Source organism: Homo sapiens, chromosome 11, assembly GCF_000001405.40.
Source record: "Homo sapiens chromosome 11, GRCh38.p14 Primary Assembly".
NCBI lineage: Eukaryota > Metazoa > Chordata > Mammalia > Primates > Hominidae > Homo > Homo sapiens.
In genome coordinates this window covers 90,179,222-90,199,202 of record NC_000011.10, presented here as the reverse complement: position 1 = coordinate 90,199,202, position 19,981 = coordinate 90,179,222, and the positions used below count along the sequence as shown (strand labels likewise).

Sequence of the window (19,981 nt, the reverse complement as noted above, 5' to 3'; positions counted from 1 at the left end):
GCAAATTATTTTGACTTGGCATTCATATTTGTTATTTACTTTGTTTTCACCAGTATAATTCCATGGCCTCAGTTTTGAAATGCAAGCTATTAAGCCCAGCTTGTTTTTAGGTTTTGTTAATAGGGTTTTCTGTTTCATTTGTTTTGATTGTTTGATAGGTTTTTTGTTGTTGTTGTTAATTATCCCTGACTGCTTCCCTACTGCCCAGGTATCTTAACAACTTAATCTGGTGGTGTTGGATGGCTTGCCTTCTTCAGTTACGTATATGCCTATGGCTTTATACATATGGCACTATCTCTAAAATACCAGGCTTGCAGAGGTTTTCTTCTGCATGTTCTTTAACTTTTTAACAGAATTCTTCATTGTGAAGATTATCTTTAAGAACAGTTTTTCTGAAGACCATGTTTTCACTAAAAACTCAATGACTTTTCTTAGTTTTTCCGTTTAGTGGGTCACCTTTAATGTCCATTGAAAAGAAATATAACTTCCAGCCTTAAACATTTTTATGTTTCTTAAAGATTATGTGTCAAAATAATTCAATTTGCCATTCCTTTTTCATTAGGCAGAGATGCTGCTTAAATGTTTAAATTATTTTTTAAAAACTTTGCTAATAAAAGTAAAATCAGTGATTGAGTCTGGAAAAGGGAAACCTCCCTGAACTTGAGGCACTTTCCCCTCGTTCAGTAAAGAGGTTAGATGGATGTATTAATATTTTTAAACACCCTGATCCTTTTCTTCATTTTGCTTATTTCATTTTGCAGTTTCATATTTATTCAGATTTTATTTTTATGATTAACTTGTTAATCTTCTTTACCATGCTGTGAGGTGGGTTTTTTTATTCTTATATTACAGATGAGGAAACTGACTTTATGACATTGGTTAAGTAGCTTATCCAGAGTTCAGACTAATGAGTTGTGGTATAAAGATTTCAAACTCATGCAGCCTGCCTCTGTGTTGTTCCATGCTCTTAACCACTATTCTGTGCTGCTTCTGATATAACATGGGCATATAGCATGGAAAACTCTTAATGTGTTTGGTAACCAGGAACAATTTTTTTGTTGTGTTAGTAAAGTTATAAAATTATGTAGTAATTTTGCCTGGATGGTTTTGGATATAATAGCCAATTCATCACTTGTGATTTGATGACTCTTAGGGTCTCTAGTTTTTCTTAACAGCCTCCAAATTGAAGTTTCAGAATCCTTACTGCAAAAAGCACAAAAGTTTTCATTGCCATTTTGATAGTGATATGTAGCTCGTAAATAATAATTCTTACCTCTGTGTTAGATAAAACATCCAGTAAAACAGCATCAAGTTTAGCTTTGATAGAAGGGAACAATTAGAGTTGGTGTAGAGACAGACCAGTTAGGATGAGGGCATGAAATACAGCAGAAGCAGTAGGAAGAGAAGAGAGACTGAGGATCTTGAATTAGGGTCTAGATGAAAATTTAGGATGATTCCTAGGTTTGGGAATGGAGGGAGAGCTTAAACAAGATAGAGAATATAGACACAGATTTTGGAGGAAATGATTTTCTCAAGGGACTGCTGAGTCCAAGGAATGTTTACAAATCCTCAAGAAGTACTCCAGGCTATTTGTAAGATCTGAGGCTCATAGGCCTTTTCTGGCTCTCAGGATTTAGAGTCGTAATAGGCAGTAATGTAAATTCACTAGCTAACTTTGAGGTTGCAACATTCATAGCACTCTGAACTTTGAGGGCATCTTGTTTTAATTCAAAAAACTGGTAATCCCTGCTTTTGATTGTGATGTAAGTAGCAGTACACAAGCATGGGAATAAGTAAATCCAATAAAGGAGTATTTAGGCTCACCTGCTAAATACTCAGTGTGCCACCCAAACCATCTGTAATGGGTCCCCTTATTGAAAACATTCTTTTTCCAGAATGGGCAAGGAAGGCTGGATGGGCAAAAGCAAAATAAATGTACCACAGACCCTTGATTCTGTTAGTATCAGTGATAAAACATGATTGATAAAACTAGGCATGATACATTCTTAAGGTACAGAAAAATGTGGAAATTGTGTCAAGAAAATTCACAAATTTTAAATGGTTCTTTAGGCTGATAGTAATAAATGGGATCATTATAATTTTATGTAAAACCTTCAAAGGCTTCCTACTAAAGAAAGCTGAATTCCAGTAACAGATTGAGCCCAGACTACTCAGTTCATATTTGAGGCCAACTTAGACTATTTTTGATGCCTTAAAGATTCCTTCAAGTCCCCTTTCTCTTTCTACCATACCCCCAGTAAAGCTACTTAAAATCCTCTGTAGGAAAGAGCTGAGTAATTGGGGGCAGAGATGGAGGACAAATTTAAGGGAACAGAAAGCCATTGGGAAGACAAATGAAAGCCAGAATCTGAAGATAATTTTAAAACCTTCAGGGAAAGTAGGTGTCTAATCACAGGACTTAATTCACTTGAGTAGAAATTTGTAATTTAGCCATAGGAATTTAGGAAGTGTTAGTTACAAGAGGTAACTTGAAGCTGTGGACATGATGATAGCTTTTGTTGCATAATTAGAATGTGCCAAACACTTTGCTAAGTGCTTATGATAGCTTTTCTCTTCAGAACATCACCATGATTATTTACAGTATAACCTGTATTTTACAGATGGAGAAATGTAGGCAAAGGAAAGGGGCATAACTTGCCTCCAGGGTCACATAGATAGCAAATGATGAAATTTAATTTTAAAATTAGAAACTGATTCCAAAGTCCTTACACTCTTAACCATGAAACTGAAGACATCTAAGTCACCACGCAAAACCCAGAATCTAAATGGCCATTTATTAGTGCTTATTCCTTTATTTCCTAATATTAATTAAATGACTTAATTACCATGAGAAGATAATGTGCTTTCAGTTTTCGCAGTAGTTAGTTCAGCCATTGATTTTCTTACTAAGAACCTCTAAAAGGCCAATGGGCAGTTGACAAAAATTAGGGATGGATTCTGCAGCTGTAAGACCAAGTGAAAGTAAAAGGCCCATGGCGGTAAATTTGTCCCTTGCAGGCAGTTTGTTCTAAATGCTTGTGCCTAGAAATAAACTTAGCCTTATTATCATCTGGACTCTGAGCAATTTTTGCATCTCAGTATTCTTAGATGTGGATGATTAAAAGGCCACGTATGAAGGCAGCTAACATAAGACACTTTGTGGGAGTGAGATAATTCATTAAAATCAAATATTAGTGTATTAGGCAAACAAATTCAATCATTTCAGTTATGTAAAGCTAGCTGGGTTCTCAGTTTTAGCAAGTTAGGGAAGATATCACATTACAGGAGAAAGACAATCTAAAAGTTTTTGAAGTTTTAATGGATTTAACCACTTGTAAAATGTTATAAATTGTAGGACACTTCTCCCAGAGAGATCCTCTAGCATACATGGATGATTTACTTTTCATATTTATGATTTGGCAGGAAAGTTTGAGTTCATTTGAAGTTAGGCTTTTTAATAGTTTTTCTCCTCCCAGTGAATTTTTCTGAGTTGATAGGTGTAAAATTTATAGATTTTATTGATAATAAAAGTTTGTAAGCATCTTTAATGTAGCGATTCCATTGCTTATTTTTTATTCAGCACTCAGGTCACTTCCTATGTGCTGGAGATAATTAAAGACTCCACTTCCAAGAAAGGATACAACAAGGAAAATAAGAGGTTGTTAAATAAAAATTATGCCAAAGATAAGCCTGTAGAAAGCTTCTGTGGTGCGTATTTGGTAGATTTTATGGATGGATTTCGTGAAGGATAAATAGCAGAGTCCTGAGGGGGGAAAAAAGGATAGAAGTGGCCAAATACAAGAGAGGAAATGGGAGAAAGAATAGGATATGAAGAAGCCTGGCATTGAGAGGTGGTATTGGCCTGTTAAGAAAACTTGTTTGCCTAGCCCCTAAGTTCTAGTCTCACTCAGTATTGGGTTTAGGGCTCCTCTAGATTCTAGTACATCATGATAGATCATGCAGTCAGTAAAAGTCCTGCTGATTTTCCCCAGTAAAGTGCTTTAGTCCACACAAAGCCTGATCTTTAATCCATGCCTAGAATTGGCAAATGATGCCAGGAAAGAAAACAGTTGGTAGTCTCAGCTATGTAGAAAAGACAAAGACTTTTAGTACATCTAGTCTTAAGCGCTTCCACAGCTCTTTCGTATCTGTAATGTATTTTGCATTTGATCCATTTTTTCCTAGTTACTGCACCTGGGAGCGACTGCCAGTACTACCACATCATTTCGGTAGTGGAGGTCCCCATTGAAGGTTTTTTTCATAGCACATAGCATGATCACGTCTAGGAAGATCGTTCTGGCTGTAGATAGTATAATTATCTACTAATACAAAGGGGGAAAGGACGTGAGATGATGTGAAAGGAAGTTTTGCATCATTTACTTGAAAGATACTGTTCTTCTGAATTTAATCACATTGGGGATTGGAAAAAGTAGATGAATAAAAATTAAAAAGAAAAAAACAAATGAGTTCATGAAGTTAAGCAATTAAAGAAAAAGACAAATCTAATACAGTACTGTAATTATTTCAAAGGTTACTATTTTACCCTAAACTCATTTCTATACTTGAAAGTTCAAGGATCGATTGATATTTTTGAAATTCTGAACTAAATGGAAATATTAAGATGGCTCATGTGTGCATATATAAATGTTATTTGTATCCTCAGAATAAACTAATAAATTTCAAGGGTACAAAATAGGATTACTATTTGTGAACTGTATTGTATCCCAGAACTCTGTACTTTTGTCTGTTCAAAATGAAAACAGTAGTTATTATATTATTTTAACCCTTATAAAAGGGAATATGATGTAAAAAATTTTAGCAATTCAGTACAGAGTACAAGTCACATAAAAGTCTACCACCGAAATGCAAGCACTATTTGTATTTTGTTTGATATTCATATATTTAGTTTTATCACTTTTTTTAACCAGTAAGTCATGGACAACTTACTATATAAGTGAAAAATGTATATATGATCATTGTATGATCATTTTTATATTATACTATAATCAATTCTCCATTGATATTTAGCTTGTGATTTTTTTTTTTTACTATTTTTTACTGTGATAAAAAATGCTGTGGTAAACACCTTTGTGTCACATACATTGTCATTCTGTCCAGTTTTCTCTATAGAAACCAATTTTTAGAATTTCTTGGTTAAAGTATATACATTTCACGTGCTTTTTTACTAGTTTTTATATTAGACAACTTCTGATTAAACATTTAGTTTAAATGATTAAAAGTATGGCATTACAATAAGAATTTATGGCTTATTTGATTTTAAAAGTAGGTCTTAAAACAGGCAATATACTGTGACAAGCAAAATATTTCCATGTCATTATTTCGTAAGTATCCTTAAGAGGAACAGTATCTCTCTCAGGACTTGGACCAAGGAATGAGATCAAAGGGGAATAATGATTAGCAGCTTAATTCAGCTGATCTCAAATGCTTAGGGGAAAAGTTTTTTTAAAAAGTTCAAACATATGCCCTATTTAACATGTGATAACACATATTCTATATTAAATATCCTGAATTGATTATAGTGCATGCCACACAATCACTTGTTCTGTTGCTAACAATCAGATATTGATTAAAAATGATTAAAAAAAACAAGAATTAAAGGAAAAATTAAATTGCAATAATTACTATTTTACTCCAAACTCATATTTCAGACCAAATATGCTGTTCTGGCAGCTCGCATTTGTCTTCAGGAAAACTACCAGTAGGAAGAACACCCAAGACATTTCTAAACCTTTGTGCTTTGTCTCCTTTAGAAATGATAGAGTTGGAGGGAACTGATGCCCAGAGATACGTAGTGATCTACTCAGTTGGGTAGTAGATAGTATGATTCATGGGTCTTAATGCAGTATATTTTCTACAACACAGTGCTTCAAGGCAAAAGTTAAAGTGTTATACTTTGGTAGTGTAGCGTGGTAGTAAAGTTAACTCCCTTTTACAAAAGTCTTAATTGTGTATATTTATACTTCATAAATAGCACACCTTATTGCCTCTTTAAGCAGAAGGAATGGAACATATTTAAAAGTTACCTTGATGACAGAGTCATTGCTATACTTGCAACTTATTTTATTGTGGGGGATCAGTGAAATACCCTCTAGTAATACTGAGATGTATAGAAAATGCCCCTAAACTAAATGCCCCCACTGTTTTAAGTTAAACTGTATTGTTGGCCTGGGAGCAAGGGTAATGGGTAGTTTTTCCTTGTAGTTAAGCTTTGAGCTGTCATTTCTTATTTTAGTTATTGTACTTGCCTATGAAGGCTCTTCTAATTTTTAATTCTTAACTCGTTTTGGTGAAGTAGATGAACAACCAAGTTTATTGAAGCTTTAATCATAGTTGAACATGTAATTGAGTCACTGGGATCTGCATAAAAGTTTGCAGATTCTGATATACAGTCTTTATAGGAGTTAGAATATGAAGATTGTAGTAGCTATTTTCATCACCCATCAGACTTATATGTTTATTCAGTAGAGCTGAAATTATTAAATGTATGAATATTACTGGCTTTTTCCTGACCATTCACACTTCATGGTGATTTCACAAGAGAAGGTATATGATTCTGGTTTCCTTGCAGACTTGTTTTTTATAATCACGTTTATTGAGGCTTAATTTTCATACAATAAATTTTATATATATTTTAAGTTTACAATTTGCCACTCAGATCAAGATACGGAAAATTCTCATCTATTGGAGAAAGTTTCCTCATACTTCTTTGCAGCCATCCTCCCCAACCTGCCACTTGGCCCAGGCAATCACTAATCTAATTTTTAACACTACAGATTAGTTTGCCACTTCATCTAAATAGAAACATATTTTATGTAGTTGTTTGTCTGGCTTTTTTCCTTCAACAATGTCTGCCAATAATATTGCATTTATTGAAAGTTACTTCATTTTTATTGCTGAGTAGTAAGTAGTCTATTGTGTAATGGATACCACAGTTTATACATTCGTCTGTGGATGGACATTTGGGGTTTTTACGCTTTTAAGTTGCAATGAACATGCATACAAGTATTGCTGTGATCATTGTTTTTCCTTCTCTTGAATAAATAACTAGAAGTGGAATTCTGGAGTCCTAAAGTAAAAGTGTATGTTTAACTTTATAGGAAACTGCCAAACTGTTTTCAAAAGTGATTTTACCATTTTACATTCCCACACTCACAATGTCTGAGAATTCATGTTCCTTGCTATAATTTAGGGAATTTTCTTTTACTTTCTGCCACACAGGAGTTTTTTACTTCATTAGATTAACACTTTGCTAATATAATTATTAACTTTTAAAGAGCAAAAAAAAAAGGCTTTGCAGATGAAAAGACCAAAGCCTATAATCAAAACATGACATGAAAAGAGTTTAGAACACCCTGGCTTCATAAGTTATCAGAAAGGTGAATTTTATCCTCAGACTTTTAGCAACACCTTTAATGGCTAGCCACTTGAGACCTTCTATAATACTTCTTTCAGAGTTCCTGCTGCTGCTTGAATTGTAAAAGCTGCAATAGAAATATGTTTCTTTACTTCTTTCCAGGCCAAACGAGAGTTGGCTTTATTTTCAATATCAAAGATAGCATCATAGATTCCAGGAAATGATTCTCCAGCATATTTGTTGTGGCTACTTGGAGCAAATATGATGTGCCTAAAAGGAAGAAAACAAGGCAAATTGAACTAAAGTGTATACATGCATTTTGCATGCTTTTTGTTTAGACCACATGATGTTTCCTTGTGATACTCACTTTTGTTCCTATAATAAGAAGACAGTTGATCTGAGATACTTATGCGAATCATAATTTCAAGCCAGGAAAGAAGCTAACAATATGCATTCGCTAAGACATATCTCAGGAATCATATACCATGTTGCGAACCCAAAGCAGATGGAAGAAAGCAGGTTCTTTTAAGTTGTGCAGAATAATTGCTCAGCGTCCCGTAAGCATCCACAAATATGGTGATAACATGTAAGTTTATGGATGTTTTTAGTAAGAGGAGATTGAGAAAGATAATTTATTTTTGTGTTGCCTTTTAAAAATAGATTAAACAAGAATGACAGTTGTTCCCAATACTTTTTAGACATTAAAAAACAAGTAATTAAAGAAGCCTGTATTTCAAAGTGTTACAAATGGCAAGGATAATGACGTCCATTCCACAAAGGTAAGACAGTTATATGTGGGTTGCCCGCAAAGACACTCAACTTTTGATCTAAAAAGAAAGTTTTATAGTTGCTTTTCTACTTCAACATAAGTAGCTCAAGGGATCAAGCTACTTTCCGCAATAATGACGTAGAATTTTGCTTTCCAGAAAGGGATGTATTTTATTAATACATCAGGAATTAGGTCCAACAGTCAAACCCCAAAGCTTATTCTAGAGTAAATCTGTATGAAGCAATATAGAGCTCCATATAAGTCAGTATTAATGATTAATGATTAATGACAAATCTATAACACTCATCATTCAGATTTACCAAAGTACATCAGGATTTATTATCTTGGCTTTTAAATCTTAATATGGCCTCAGATGGATTTTTTTAAAATTAAAATCAGTTTATGTGCTAAGTTGTTTATAAGCATTGGTATCCTGACCTGTATATGAGTCAAGAAATTAGAGATGCAAGTCATAGATATTCCTTAGTATACTTACCCTCTTCTGGAGAATTGTAAAGGAAGAATATAGCAAAAAAAATTTGATATAGGAAGCGAATAACCTTTGAATCATTGATATGGCATTTAATATCTCAGTGACCTTTGGCAAATTGCCTAAGTTGTCTAAATTTGTCCCAGATTTGTAAAATAATTGAAATAATGTAGACTCTGCTTAGAGTAGTGACTGAGCAGGTTGTAGACTGAGACTGCCTGTTTTTTAAAAATCAGAATACTAGCATATTTACTATCAACAGAATACTATCAACTATCAGCCTTGTGGCCTTGCACTGGTTATTTAACCTCCCTGTGCCTGTTATCTTAAAAATGATGGTGATAAAAGTACTGTTCTAAAAGAATTGTGAGAATCAAATGTTGGATGAAAAGCATAGCTTGACATTTAATAGGTGTTCAGTAAATATTAGCTATTCTGAAACTAAATCCTTTCCCTAATTTTCTCAGATAAGAAGCAGGCAGCAAGCTAAAAGAAATGATCAGACAATTGGTAATGCTTAAGCAACTCAAATACCCTTTTATGAAATGGTGGACTCAAATAGCTATTCTAGTCCCATAAGAATTCAAACTCTGGTCTAGTTCTCAAGGTTTCAAGTATATGATGATTTAATTACCCTCCACAATGGACATTTCTGAATTTTTAAGAGGCATCAAGAACTACTGAGCAGACTAGAGAATATGGTCAACACTTCATAGTCTTTTTTCCTCAACCTTCCCCTCAGTACATAGTAAGTATTCACTGATGAGTTGTGATAATGCAAAATTTCTTTTTTTTTTTTGAGATAGAGTCTCGTTCTGTCGGCCCAGGCTGGAGTGCAGTGGCATGATCTCGGCTCACTGCAACCTCCACCTCCTGGGCTCAAGCAATTCTCCTGCCTCAGCCTCCCGAGTAGCTGGAATTACAGGTGCCTACCACCACGCCTGGCTAATTTTTGTATTTTTAGTAGAGATGGGGTTTCACCATGTTGGCCAGGCTGGTCTTAAACTCCTGACCTCAGGTAATCCACCCGCCTTAACCTCCCAAAGTGCTGGGATTACAGGCGTGAGCCACCATGCCCGGCCACAAATGTTTCTAGAATTTCATAATTAAATGCTTTGCAGCTTTTAAAGACTTTTACAGTATTTCACTTGATGTTTGCAAAAAAGGAAGCTTTATTTAATCCTTTTTAGATTCCATTACAGAGTGTGTTCATTTTATATTGCTGCTGTGCAAATTACCACCAACTTAGTGGCTTAAAAAAATTTATTATCTTACAGTTGGTCTGACATAAGTCTCACCAAGCTAAAATCAAGGTATGATCAGGGTCACATTCCTTCCTGGAGGCACTAGAGGAGAATCCTTTTCCTTGCTTTTCTAGCTTCTAGAGGCCTACCACATTCCTCCACCATCAAAATCCGCAACTGCATTTTAGATGAGTCTTTTCGCAATGGCATCACCCTAACTTTCTCTCCTGCCTGCCTCTTACAGGAAGACTTTTAAGGACCCTTGTGACTGCATCATTGGGACCACCAGTATAATTCAGAATACTGTCCCTATTTTAACTCAGCTGATTAGTGTGACTCATCCATCTGCCACCTTAATTCCTCTTTGTCATGTAACCTAACATATTCAAAGGTTCTGGGGTTAGAAAATAGAGATCTTTGGGAGGCCATTATTATGCTTACCACACAGAGCAATTAATTTTTGTGGAACTTTCATTAGGGAAAAAACGAGGAGTAATAGAATATAGAAAATGAGCTCAGTGGTAGATAAGGATTTATTACTTATTTGCCTTTGTTGTGATAGTTACAATATATTACCCACAACTCAAAAATAATTAAGTTTGCAAAATTTATCAAGCATGCTGCTATGGTCTGAATGTGTTCATTCCCCAAATTCGTATGTTGAAACTTAATTTCTAGTGTGACAGTATTAAGGGATTAGAGCCCTTATAAAAGAGAATGAAGAAAGCTAGCTAGCCCTTCCATCTGTTCTGCCAACTGAGGACGCCCTGAGAAAAATACCATATATGGGACAGGTGCTCATAAAACATTGAATTGGTTGACACTGATCTTGTACTTCCCAGCCCCTAGAACTGTGAGGAATAAATTTCTGTTTTTTATAAATTACCCAGTCTCAGGTATTTTGATATAGCAGCAGGAATGGACTAAGACACGTTTTTTATTCACAATAAACATTTAGTTATACTTCTGAATTTTAAGAAGAATGTTTTATATGTTCCACATTAACATTTTATTTTAAAATATGTACAATGTTTTCTGATTTATTCATTACTGAATCTCAACTGTTAAATCAAGTTTAACTTAAAGCTGCCTCCTTAAATATTTTAAGTTCAGCCTAAAGGTTTCTCTGTACATAGTGAACTATAACCTAAATGGAGTTGTCAACAGACTGAGTCTACTCTTGTGCCGATCACCAAGTTTTGGCCAATTAAAGGGGTCAGTTCAAACTGTTCAAATAAGGTAAATTCTGTGCTGTAACCAGTCTGGCTGTTTCTGTTACTCATTTCCGTTTTCTGTATGTCACTTTCCTTTTTCTGTCTGTAACTCTTCATCCATCACGTGGCTGCACTGGAGTCTCTCTGAGTCTATCATTCTTTGCTCAATTAAAGTCTGTTAAATATAATTTGGCTAATGTTTTTGTTTTAACAATACATACATATGTAATGTACATATATATATAATGGCTATACATACATACATCAGATTAGTCTAATTTTCTTAGTCTATCAATTCTACATGGTAGAACAATTTTATTACACTACAGATTTGGTAATCTCTCCATTCTTGAGGTTCATAAAATAGCAGATCTTAAAAATGTCATTGATCCATTATACGTACTGAAAGTTTTTACTCTTAGAGGTTTTATAAGATTTACAAGATCATTTTTAACCTGATATACATTGCTGGATGAGGAAAAAATAATTTTGAAATAAATTCTTTAAGACAAATGAGAAATTCTGGGTAGCTGGAATTGCTATTATAGCTACATTTATCTTAGCAGTTATTGGAAAAAGTGTGCATATGCAATATGTCATATCAATCCATAAAGTAATCCTTATGATCATGAAGGAAGAACTTATTTCCATACTACTGCAGTAGACTAAAACATAATAATATGAATTAGCATTAGAATATAATCTTAACATTCAGCTAATAGTTCAAAGTGCATTTTTAAAAATATGGTAGTCTTTGGAGGACAGTTTGGTAGTAACCTAATCAAATTTAAAAATGTGTTTACCCTGGGTCAAATGCTATTTCTAGTTCTAGATCCCTGAGGAATCGCCACACTGACTTCCACAATGGTTGAACTAGTTTACAGTCCCACCAACAGTGTAAAAGTGTTCCTATTTCTCCACATCCTCTCCAGCACCTGTTGTTTCCTGACTTTTTAATGATTGCCATTCTAACTGGTGTGAGATGGTATCTCATTGTGGTTTTGATTTGCATTTCTCTGATGGCCAGTGATGATGAGCATTTTTTCAAGTGTTTTTGGCTGCATAAATGTCTTCTTTTGAGAAGTGTCTGTTCATGTCCTTCGCCCACTTTTTGATGGGGTTGTTTTTTTCTTGTAAATTTGTTTGAGTTCATTGTAGATTCTGGATATTAGCCCTTTGTCAGATGAGTAGGTTGCGAAAATTTTCTCCCATTTTGTAGGTTGCCTGTTCACTCTGATGGTAGTTTCTTTTGCTGTGCAGAAGCTCTTTAGTTTAATTAGATCCCATTTGTCAATTTTGTCTTTTGTTGCCATTGCTTTTGGTGTTTTGGACATGAAGTCCTTGCCCATGCCTATGTCCTGAATGGTAATGCCTAGGTTTACTTCTAGGGTTTTTATGGTTTTAGGTCTAACGTTTAAGTCTTTAATCCATCTTGAATTGATTTTTGTATAAGGTGTAAGGAAGGGATCCAGTTTCAGCTTTCTACATATGGCTAGCCAGTTTTCCCAGCACCATTTATTAAATAGGGAATCCTTTCCCCATACCATTTGACCCAGCCATCCCATTACTGGGTATATACCCAAAGGACTATAAATCATGCTGCTATAAAGACACATGCACACATGTTTATTGCGGCATTATTCACAATAGCAAAGACTTGGAACCAACCCAAATGTCCAACAATGATAGACTGGATTAAGAAAATGTGGCACATATACACCATGGAATACTATGCAGCCATAAAAAATGATGAGTTCATGTCTTTTGTAGGGACATGGATGAAATTGGAAATCATCATTCTCAGTAAACTATCGCCAAGAACAAAAAACCAAACACCGCATATTCTCACTCATAGGTGGGAATTGAACAATGAGATCACATGGACACAGGAAGGGGAATATCACACTCTGGGGACTGTGGTGGGGTGGGGGGAGGAGGGAGGGATAGTATTGGGAGATATACCTAATGCTAGATGACGAGTTAGTGGGTGCAGCGCACCAGCATGGCACATGTATACATATGTAACTAACCTGCACAATGTGCACATGTACCCTAAAACTTAAAAGTATAATAAATAAATTTAAAAAAAAAAGATTACAAGTTCTTCAGTGTAAGCAAAATATCATGGACTCAAAAAGTCATGAGATGTGATCAAAAGCCAATGAGCCAGAAAAGGCAAATATGGCTGTACAAGTTGCTCATTTCTGTGAAAACAAATAAAATTTTAAATGTATATAAAAAAAAAAAAAAAAGTGTTTACCCTTTCACCCTGAAATCCCAGGTCCTGATTATAGAGATATTAACAAATGTTCAAATAGGACTCAAGGACATCCATACAATGCCATTACTTTTCATAATAGTAAATAATTGTGGAAAAATCCTAATCTGAAATTCAGTAAGAGGTAGATATTTTCACAAGAGTCAAATCTTTTATCTAAAAAAATGAAAAAAAATCTTAGAGATTGTCGAAGCTGGAGTGCAATGGCATGATCATAGCTCCACTGTAACATCAAGCTCCTGTGTTCAAGCAATCCCCCTGCCTTACCCTCCCAAGTAGCTAGGATTGCATGCACCACTACACCAGCTACTTTAAAAAATTTTTTGTAGAAACAGGGTCTCGCTGTGTTACCCAGGCTGGTCTTGAGCTCCTGGCCTCAAGCGATCCTCCTTTCTCAGCCTCCCAAAGCGCTGGGATTACAAGTGTGAGCCACCTCACCCAGCCTAAGATACATTCTTAAGGAAAAAAATAAAATTGTAACGTATGGTCCCATACATTATTTATGTAAATATAAATGGGTTTACATATTTATACATGTAAATATAAATGATTACATATGTAAATTTATAATATGTTAAATATAGATGTTTATGTAAATAAAAATTGTTTATATATTGTGTGTGTACACTTTTATGGAAATATTTGCATATATAGTATATAAATGTAATATATGTATATATAAATGTATATGTAAGTATATACAGTAATTCCTCAGTATCCATGGGGGATTGGTTCCAGAATCCCCTTTGGATACCAGAATTTAAGGATGCTCAACTCCCTTATATAAAATGGCTTACTATTTGCATATGACATATACAAGTCCTCCCAGATACTTTAAATCAGCTCTAGATTGCTTACAGCACCTAATACAATGTAAATGCTATGCAAATAGTTGTTTACTGTATTTAGGGAATAATGACCCAAAAAAGGTCTGTAAATCAGTACAGACACAACCATTCATTTTTTTTTCAAATATATTCTATCTGCAGTTGATGAATCAACAGATGTGGAACTCACAGATACAGAGGGCTGACTATATACATATATAAACATGTATATAAGTGCATTAAAACTTACACCAAACTCAACATTGAGTTTCACTGAAGAGAATAAAGAACTGGGTGTAGGGGGCAAGGGGGGAATGCTGAAGAAGCACTGCTCCTTTTTATTTTATATGCTTCTACAGAGCCTGAGTTTTTAAAATAATGACAAAATATAGATTTCTTATAAATAAATAGAAAATAAATATATAAAGATAGACTAATAACAACACCTGAGAGGACTAACAAACACTGTAGATACGGCTTTCGGCTTTTGTTTGATCCATATAAATAATTGATCATTGCTATTTCATTTGCATCAATGAAGAAACAAACATTTGTGTTTTTATTATTTATAAAAATAGCTGCCATTTATTGAGTGCATCCCTCTTGAGCTAAATCTTCTACAGGCCTTAAATCTACAGGCCTATTGAGTAAAAGCAATTATAATCTCCACTTAGTAGCTGAGGGATCTGAAGCTTAGAAAAATAATTTTTCCAGGTCACGTGAAGTATGTGGCAGAGCTGGGTTCTAAAAGCGTATGCTTGTAATTATCTAAATGTTAATATTAATCATTAACATTTATAAGAAAGGTAACATATAAACCTTTTTTGCATATTATTTGATGATAAATAGCCTTTAAAGTAGCAATTATCATCATCTTAATTCGGATGGGAAAACCCTAGAAGTTACTTGCTTTAAGTCACACATCTGCAAGTGAACTAGAATATAGATTTTCTGGCTTTGAATGCTAGGACCTTTCTAATTTCCACCAGAGAACCAGTTTTAGAAGGACCTTGAGAAAATGGAGAACATCCAAAGGGATGCAGCCAAGATACTGAAAGAGAACATGATGTAGAGATACAGATAGGAAAATAGGATACAGAGGCTTCGTGACTTAAAGATGAGTTGTTTTCTGATAAAACCATCATAAACTGAAAATATCACAAGTCAAAAATGCATTTAATATACCTAACCTACCAACAATCATAGCTTGGCCTAGCCTACCTTAAATGTGCTCAGAACACTTACATTAGCCTACAGTTGGGCAAAATTATCTAATGCAAAGCCTATTCTATAATGAAGTGTTGAATATCTCATGTAATTTATTGAATACTACACTGAATATGAAAACCAGAGTGGTTGCATGGGTACTTGAAGTATGGTTTCTACTTAATGTGTATTGCCTTTGCACCATCATAACGCCGAAAAATGAAATCTAACCATCGTTGAGAACCATCTCAAAAACCTAAAATACTATATGGAAATAGAGCTAAACTTATTTTATTTGACTTTAACAGAACAAACTCAAAGAGAAAAATATTACAGGAAAATAGATGTTAAATCTTTATGAAGAAAACTTTCTAATAATTAGACCTTTCATAAAGTGAAATGAGCCTCCTCATGAAGTAGTAAGCTTCTCATCACTAAAAGATTCTGAGACTGGATAACTATTTATCTGAGATTCTATAAAAAGGATTATGTAGAAGGTTGAACTAGATAAGCTCTAAAATTCCCTTTAAGATTCTACAGTTTGAAGATTTTGTTAGAAAGAGTTCTTTTTTAACTAGCCTTTACCATTTTCCCTCACAGCAAAGCAATAAACAATATGAAATTTATTTTTCTAATATGTATTATACCTATTATTAAATGTACAATCTTACCCAAATTCCCTAGAGTGTACATATTTGCCTTTCACCCATCTAATGGCATTAGTTTAAAGCCAACTTTAGGTATGCTGGTTTTGGTCACAGTGATGTATTTGGCGCCTGTTGTTTCCTTACCTATAGAACAGCTTTCCTGGTAAACCAAGAGGATCGATGAATGCTCTTTCCAGGAGCATCAGTTGGTCATTCATCATTCTCACTGCAATGGGACTTCGAGAAGAACATATACATAATTATAACGCAAACCGCAGAATCATGCTTCAAAAATAATATTAAATAAAAACAAGGCTTGGGAAAATATATTTCTAAAATTGATCAATTTTTAACAAAATGAATATTAACACAGTAATGCTTTACATGGTGAGCCACAAACAGCAGAGTCATCTTTCTAATATTTACAGTCAGCAGAGAGACCTATTGGAAAATCGTTTGTTATATTTTTTTACATCACACACCAATCAAAAGGGACTCAAAGACATTCTATACTTCTAGGAGGACAGCCAGGCCTCCTGGAAAGGCAGACAAAGTGAGCTATCAAGTTATTCCTGATAAGTCATTCGGTTCTACTGCTGAAAAAAGGAGCAGATAACAGGCTGGACAACAAAGAGTGAATGAAGGTTTCAGAAGCCTGTAAGGAGGGTAAGAGATAGCTGCACATAATGGATAGGGAATCCCTTGTCACACTCAGACTATCCCTTTGGGGAGTTGAGTAAGTTCCCTGGGCTCCCCTACAATCCAAAGGAGAATGAGGTCCCTTAAAACTACTGATAATAGCTTTCTTCCAATATGGGAAGTAGCAAAGTTTATTCTGATTACATCTGAAAAAATAAATGTGACATGGACACATCTGTGGATAAATTTATGCTTGTTACATGGTATTTACTTTGAATGTACTTTGAAACTATTTTCAATGTGAAAGTGGCAAGAAATTAAATAAAATGCAAAAAAAATTATCCATGAAAAAAGAATTTCTAAACTGGTACACAGGAGTACTGAACAAAGAACTAGTAAAATATATTACAAACGCACTTAAACTCATAAAGCTATGAATTTACAGCTGTAGTCAGAATTTTCATCATGCAGACTCCTAATGACAGGTACCTTTGGCCCTTGTCTCTTTGGGATGAGTTTTTAGTCTACCATTCAGAGCAGTGCTCCCCAAACTTTACTGTTAGTATAAATCATTGAAGGGCGGGGTGGGGGTGGTAGTTAAAATGCAAAATTCTAATTCAGCATGTCTTGGTTGGTGTCTGATATTTTGCCTTTCTAACAAGTTCTCAGGTACTACTGCTATTGCTGATTTGCAGACTATAATTTGAATAGTAGTGATTTAGAGGTTAATGCTAATATGAGTGAAACAGTTCATTCTAGTAACCAGATTGCTTTTTTTTTTTTTTTTAAAAAAAAAGGGATTTGAAACTTACTTGTTAAGATCAACTTGTATAAGTCGTTTATGAAAATCTGAAGCAGCCTCTGAGAAGTTTTTCACAGCAGAAAATAAGGAGTCTTTTTTAAAAATAGAAAAGAAGAAGAGAAATTAGCTCATATTTCAGAGGTTCGCTTTCCCACCCTCCCCATTCCAGATTGATATGACCACATAGATGTCGAAGCCATTTTTCTACTGAGTCTTCTTGCAGATCCATGAAAATTAGTAGAAAATATAACAAAGTAATATTGTTTGAAAACAAAAAATGGTAACATTGTTTCTTAAAGGAAATGACTTTCAAAAATCTAGGACACAAATAATTCCTTAACCCATAGTTTACCAGAAACCCAGAATTCATTTTTTTATTAATTCATTCATTCATTGGGACAACAACTGTATGCTAGACACTGGATACAGCTATGCATAGGATATGATTCTGTAATTATTACAGGGCAAAAAAAAATACCAATTCTTGTTTTCAAATAGTGCATTTAAGATCTTGTTCAACAGGCAACCTGTGACAAACTGATATAACCAGATACTGAGAAAGAGGATCAGATTTGATCTGGTCAAACTCTTCTTTAATTCACAATGCTTCTGAGGAAAGTGATTAGGTTCTCAGTACAGTCATACCTCAGTATCAGTGAGGCCTGGGTACCAGAATCCCCTGCAGATAACCATATTCCATGGAAGCAACTCCCTTATATAAAATGGCATAGTATTTGCCTGTTACCTACACACATCCTCCCCTATACTTTAAGTCATCTCTAGATTACTTATAATGCCTAATACAATGCCTATATATAACTTCATGTGGATTCAATGTAGTGCTCAGAGCACAACAAATTCAAATTCAAGTTTTGCTTTTTTGAAACTTAATGGGTTTTTTTTTCTGAATATTTTTGGCTTGCAGTTGGTTGAATACATGGATGCAGAACTCACCAATATAGAGAGGTGACTATATTATATTTTTATTACAACAATTTATTATTTTCCATATTTTCTACACAGGACTTTAAACATACATTATTGATTTGTTGCTTGCATCAATCCTGTGGTGCAAGCAAATCAGGAGATACGATATTCATTTTATAGATAAAGCACTTACAGCTCAGGATTTCTATTAGGTCACACCTAATGGAAAGAATTTCTATTTCTATTACCTAATTTCTATTAGGTCTGACCTAATAGAAATCCTGAGCTCTAAATGCTTTAGCTAGTAAGTGGTACATTCAGTATAAGTATATTCAGTATTTTTAAAAACCTTCTTAGTCCCAGATTTTAGTCCTAGATTTTAGTCCTAGTCTTTTAGTCCTAGATTTTCCTTAACTTTTAATTGTTGTTTTAAGCCAAGTTCAAACCAAAGAATGTAATAAGAGATAGAATAGAAACTATGAGGAAAGAATGCTGAAAACAGAATTTTAAATTTCAAATGCAGGACAGAAGTCAAGATAGATAACTGAAACGTGTCCTGGGATTTAGTAACACATGTCAATGACGACTTTTGCAAGAGCAGTTTTACTAGAGTAGAAAGGACATAAGACAGCACAGTGGATTGGCTAGTGAGAGGTAAAAAACTATAGACAGGGAGTGTAGATTATGTATTCATTCATTCATTCATTCATTCATTCATCAATTATACCTTCATTCCTACACTAACACATTTTCTCAGGAACTGTTTCTGCCTGGCACTAAATGAAGAATTTTGATTGTGAAGAAAGTGGGACACATCAGGCAGAAGAAATGTTTTTGAAATAGAAAAGCTATAAGAATAATTAATCTAATGGATAGTCACCAATAGTAATGGTGATTTTTGAAAGTATGACAGGGAAAGGAATTAACAGATCAAACCAGGCCTCTAAGAAGGTAAGTAGGTAGAAGAATTAACCTTGTCTAAAGAGAGCCCTTCCACTCTAACTGTGTGGTTTCTGTCTCTTAATTGGACCCTGACTTATAAAAACTGATAAAAGATCATTCACCAAAAGGAAATCAGGGAATTTAGGAAGACAACTGGATGCTGAATAGCCACAGAACTACCAATGTCCATTTTGCTGTAGGCTCTGCTTATTTCTCTGGTTTTATCTCTCCTTATTTCCCCCATCACTGCAGAGATACTCCAATTGTATTGATATAAACACATTTTATTTGCTTCATTTTTTTTCTAGACCATAGTATTTGCTATTATTACTAATCCTGTATATAATATTATATAAAGATTACTAATCCTTTATATAATAATATTCAGAAGTCATTACTATTCCATACCCATTTTCTGTGTTTTTATAGTACTCTCTACATAGCCCCATAGTAACCTATTATCTGTATATTGCTTTATTCCCCACATGAGACTTTAAGCTTTCTTAGGACTATGACCATGCCTTGTACACATTTATATCTCCCAGGTAATAACATAGTACTTGGTACACAGTAGAAACTCAGGGCATATTTGATAATTTGGGTATATACTAAAAATAGGTG

At 34.3% G+C, this 19,981-nt stretch overlaps 1 protein-coding gene across 6 annotated transcripts in view; it reads right to left on the bottom strand.

The window, feature by feature from the left end:
- Positions 1 to 6,308: 6,308 nt before the first annotated feature.
- The window catches only part of NAALAD2 (N-acetylated alpha-linked acidic dipeptidase 2), a 61,196-nt gene continuing 47,523 nt past the window's right edge, over positions 6,309 to 19,981 (bottom strand). For 5 of the 6 annotated variants that reach the window (XM_017017043.3, XM_047426168.1, NM_005467.4 and 2 more), the window contains 3 exons: positions 17,502 to 17,583; positions 16,195 to 16,287; positions 6,309 to 7,645 (listed from right to left, as the gene is read on the bottom strand). In XM_017017043.3, coding sequence (XP_016872532.1) covers positions 7,456 to 7,645; positions 16,195 to 16,287; positions 17,502 to 17,583 — 365 coding nt within the window. In that variant the 3' untranslated portion in view covers positions 6,309 to 7,455. Of the gene's footprint in view, positions 7,646 to 16,194; positions 16,288 to 17,501; positions 17,584 to 19,981 lie in introns of those variants that run through there. The other variant, XR_007062427.1, reaches the window with a different exon arrangement.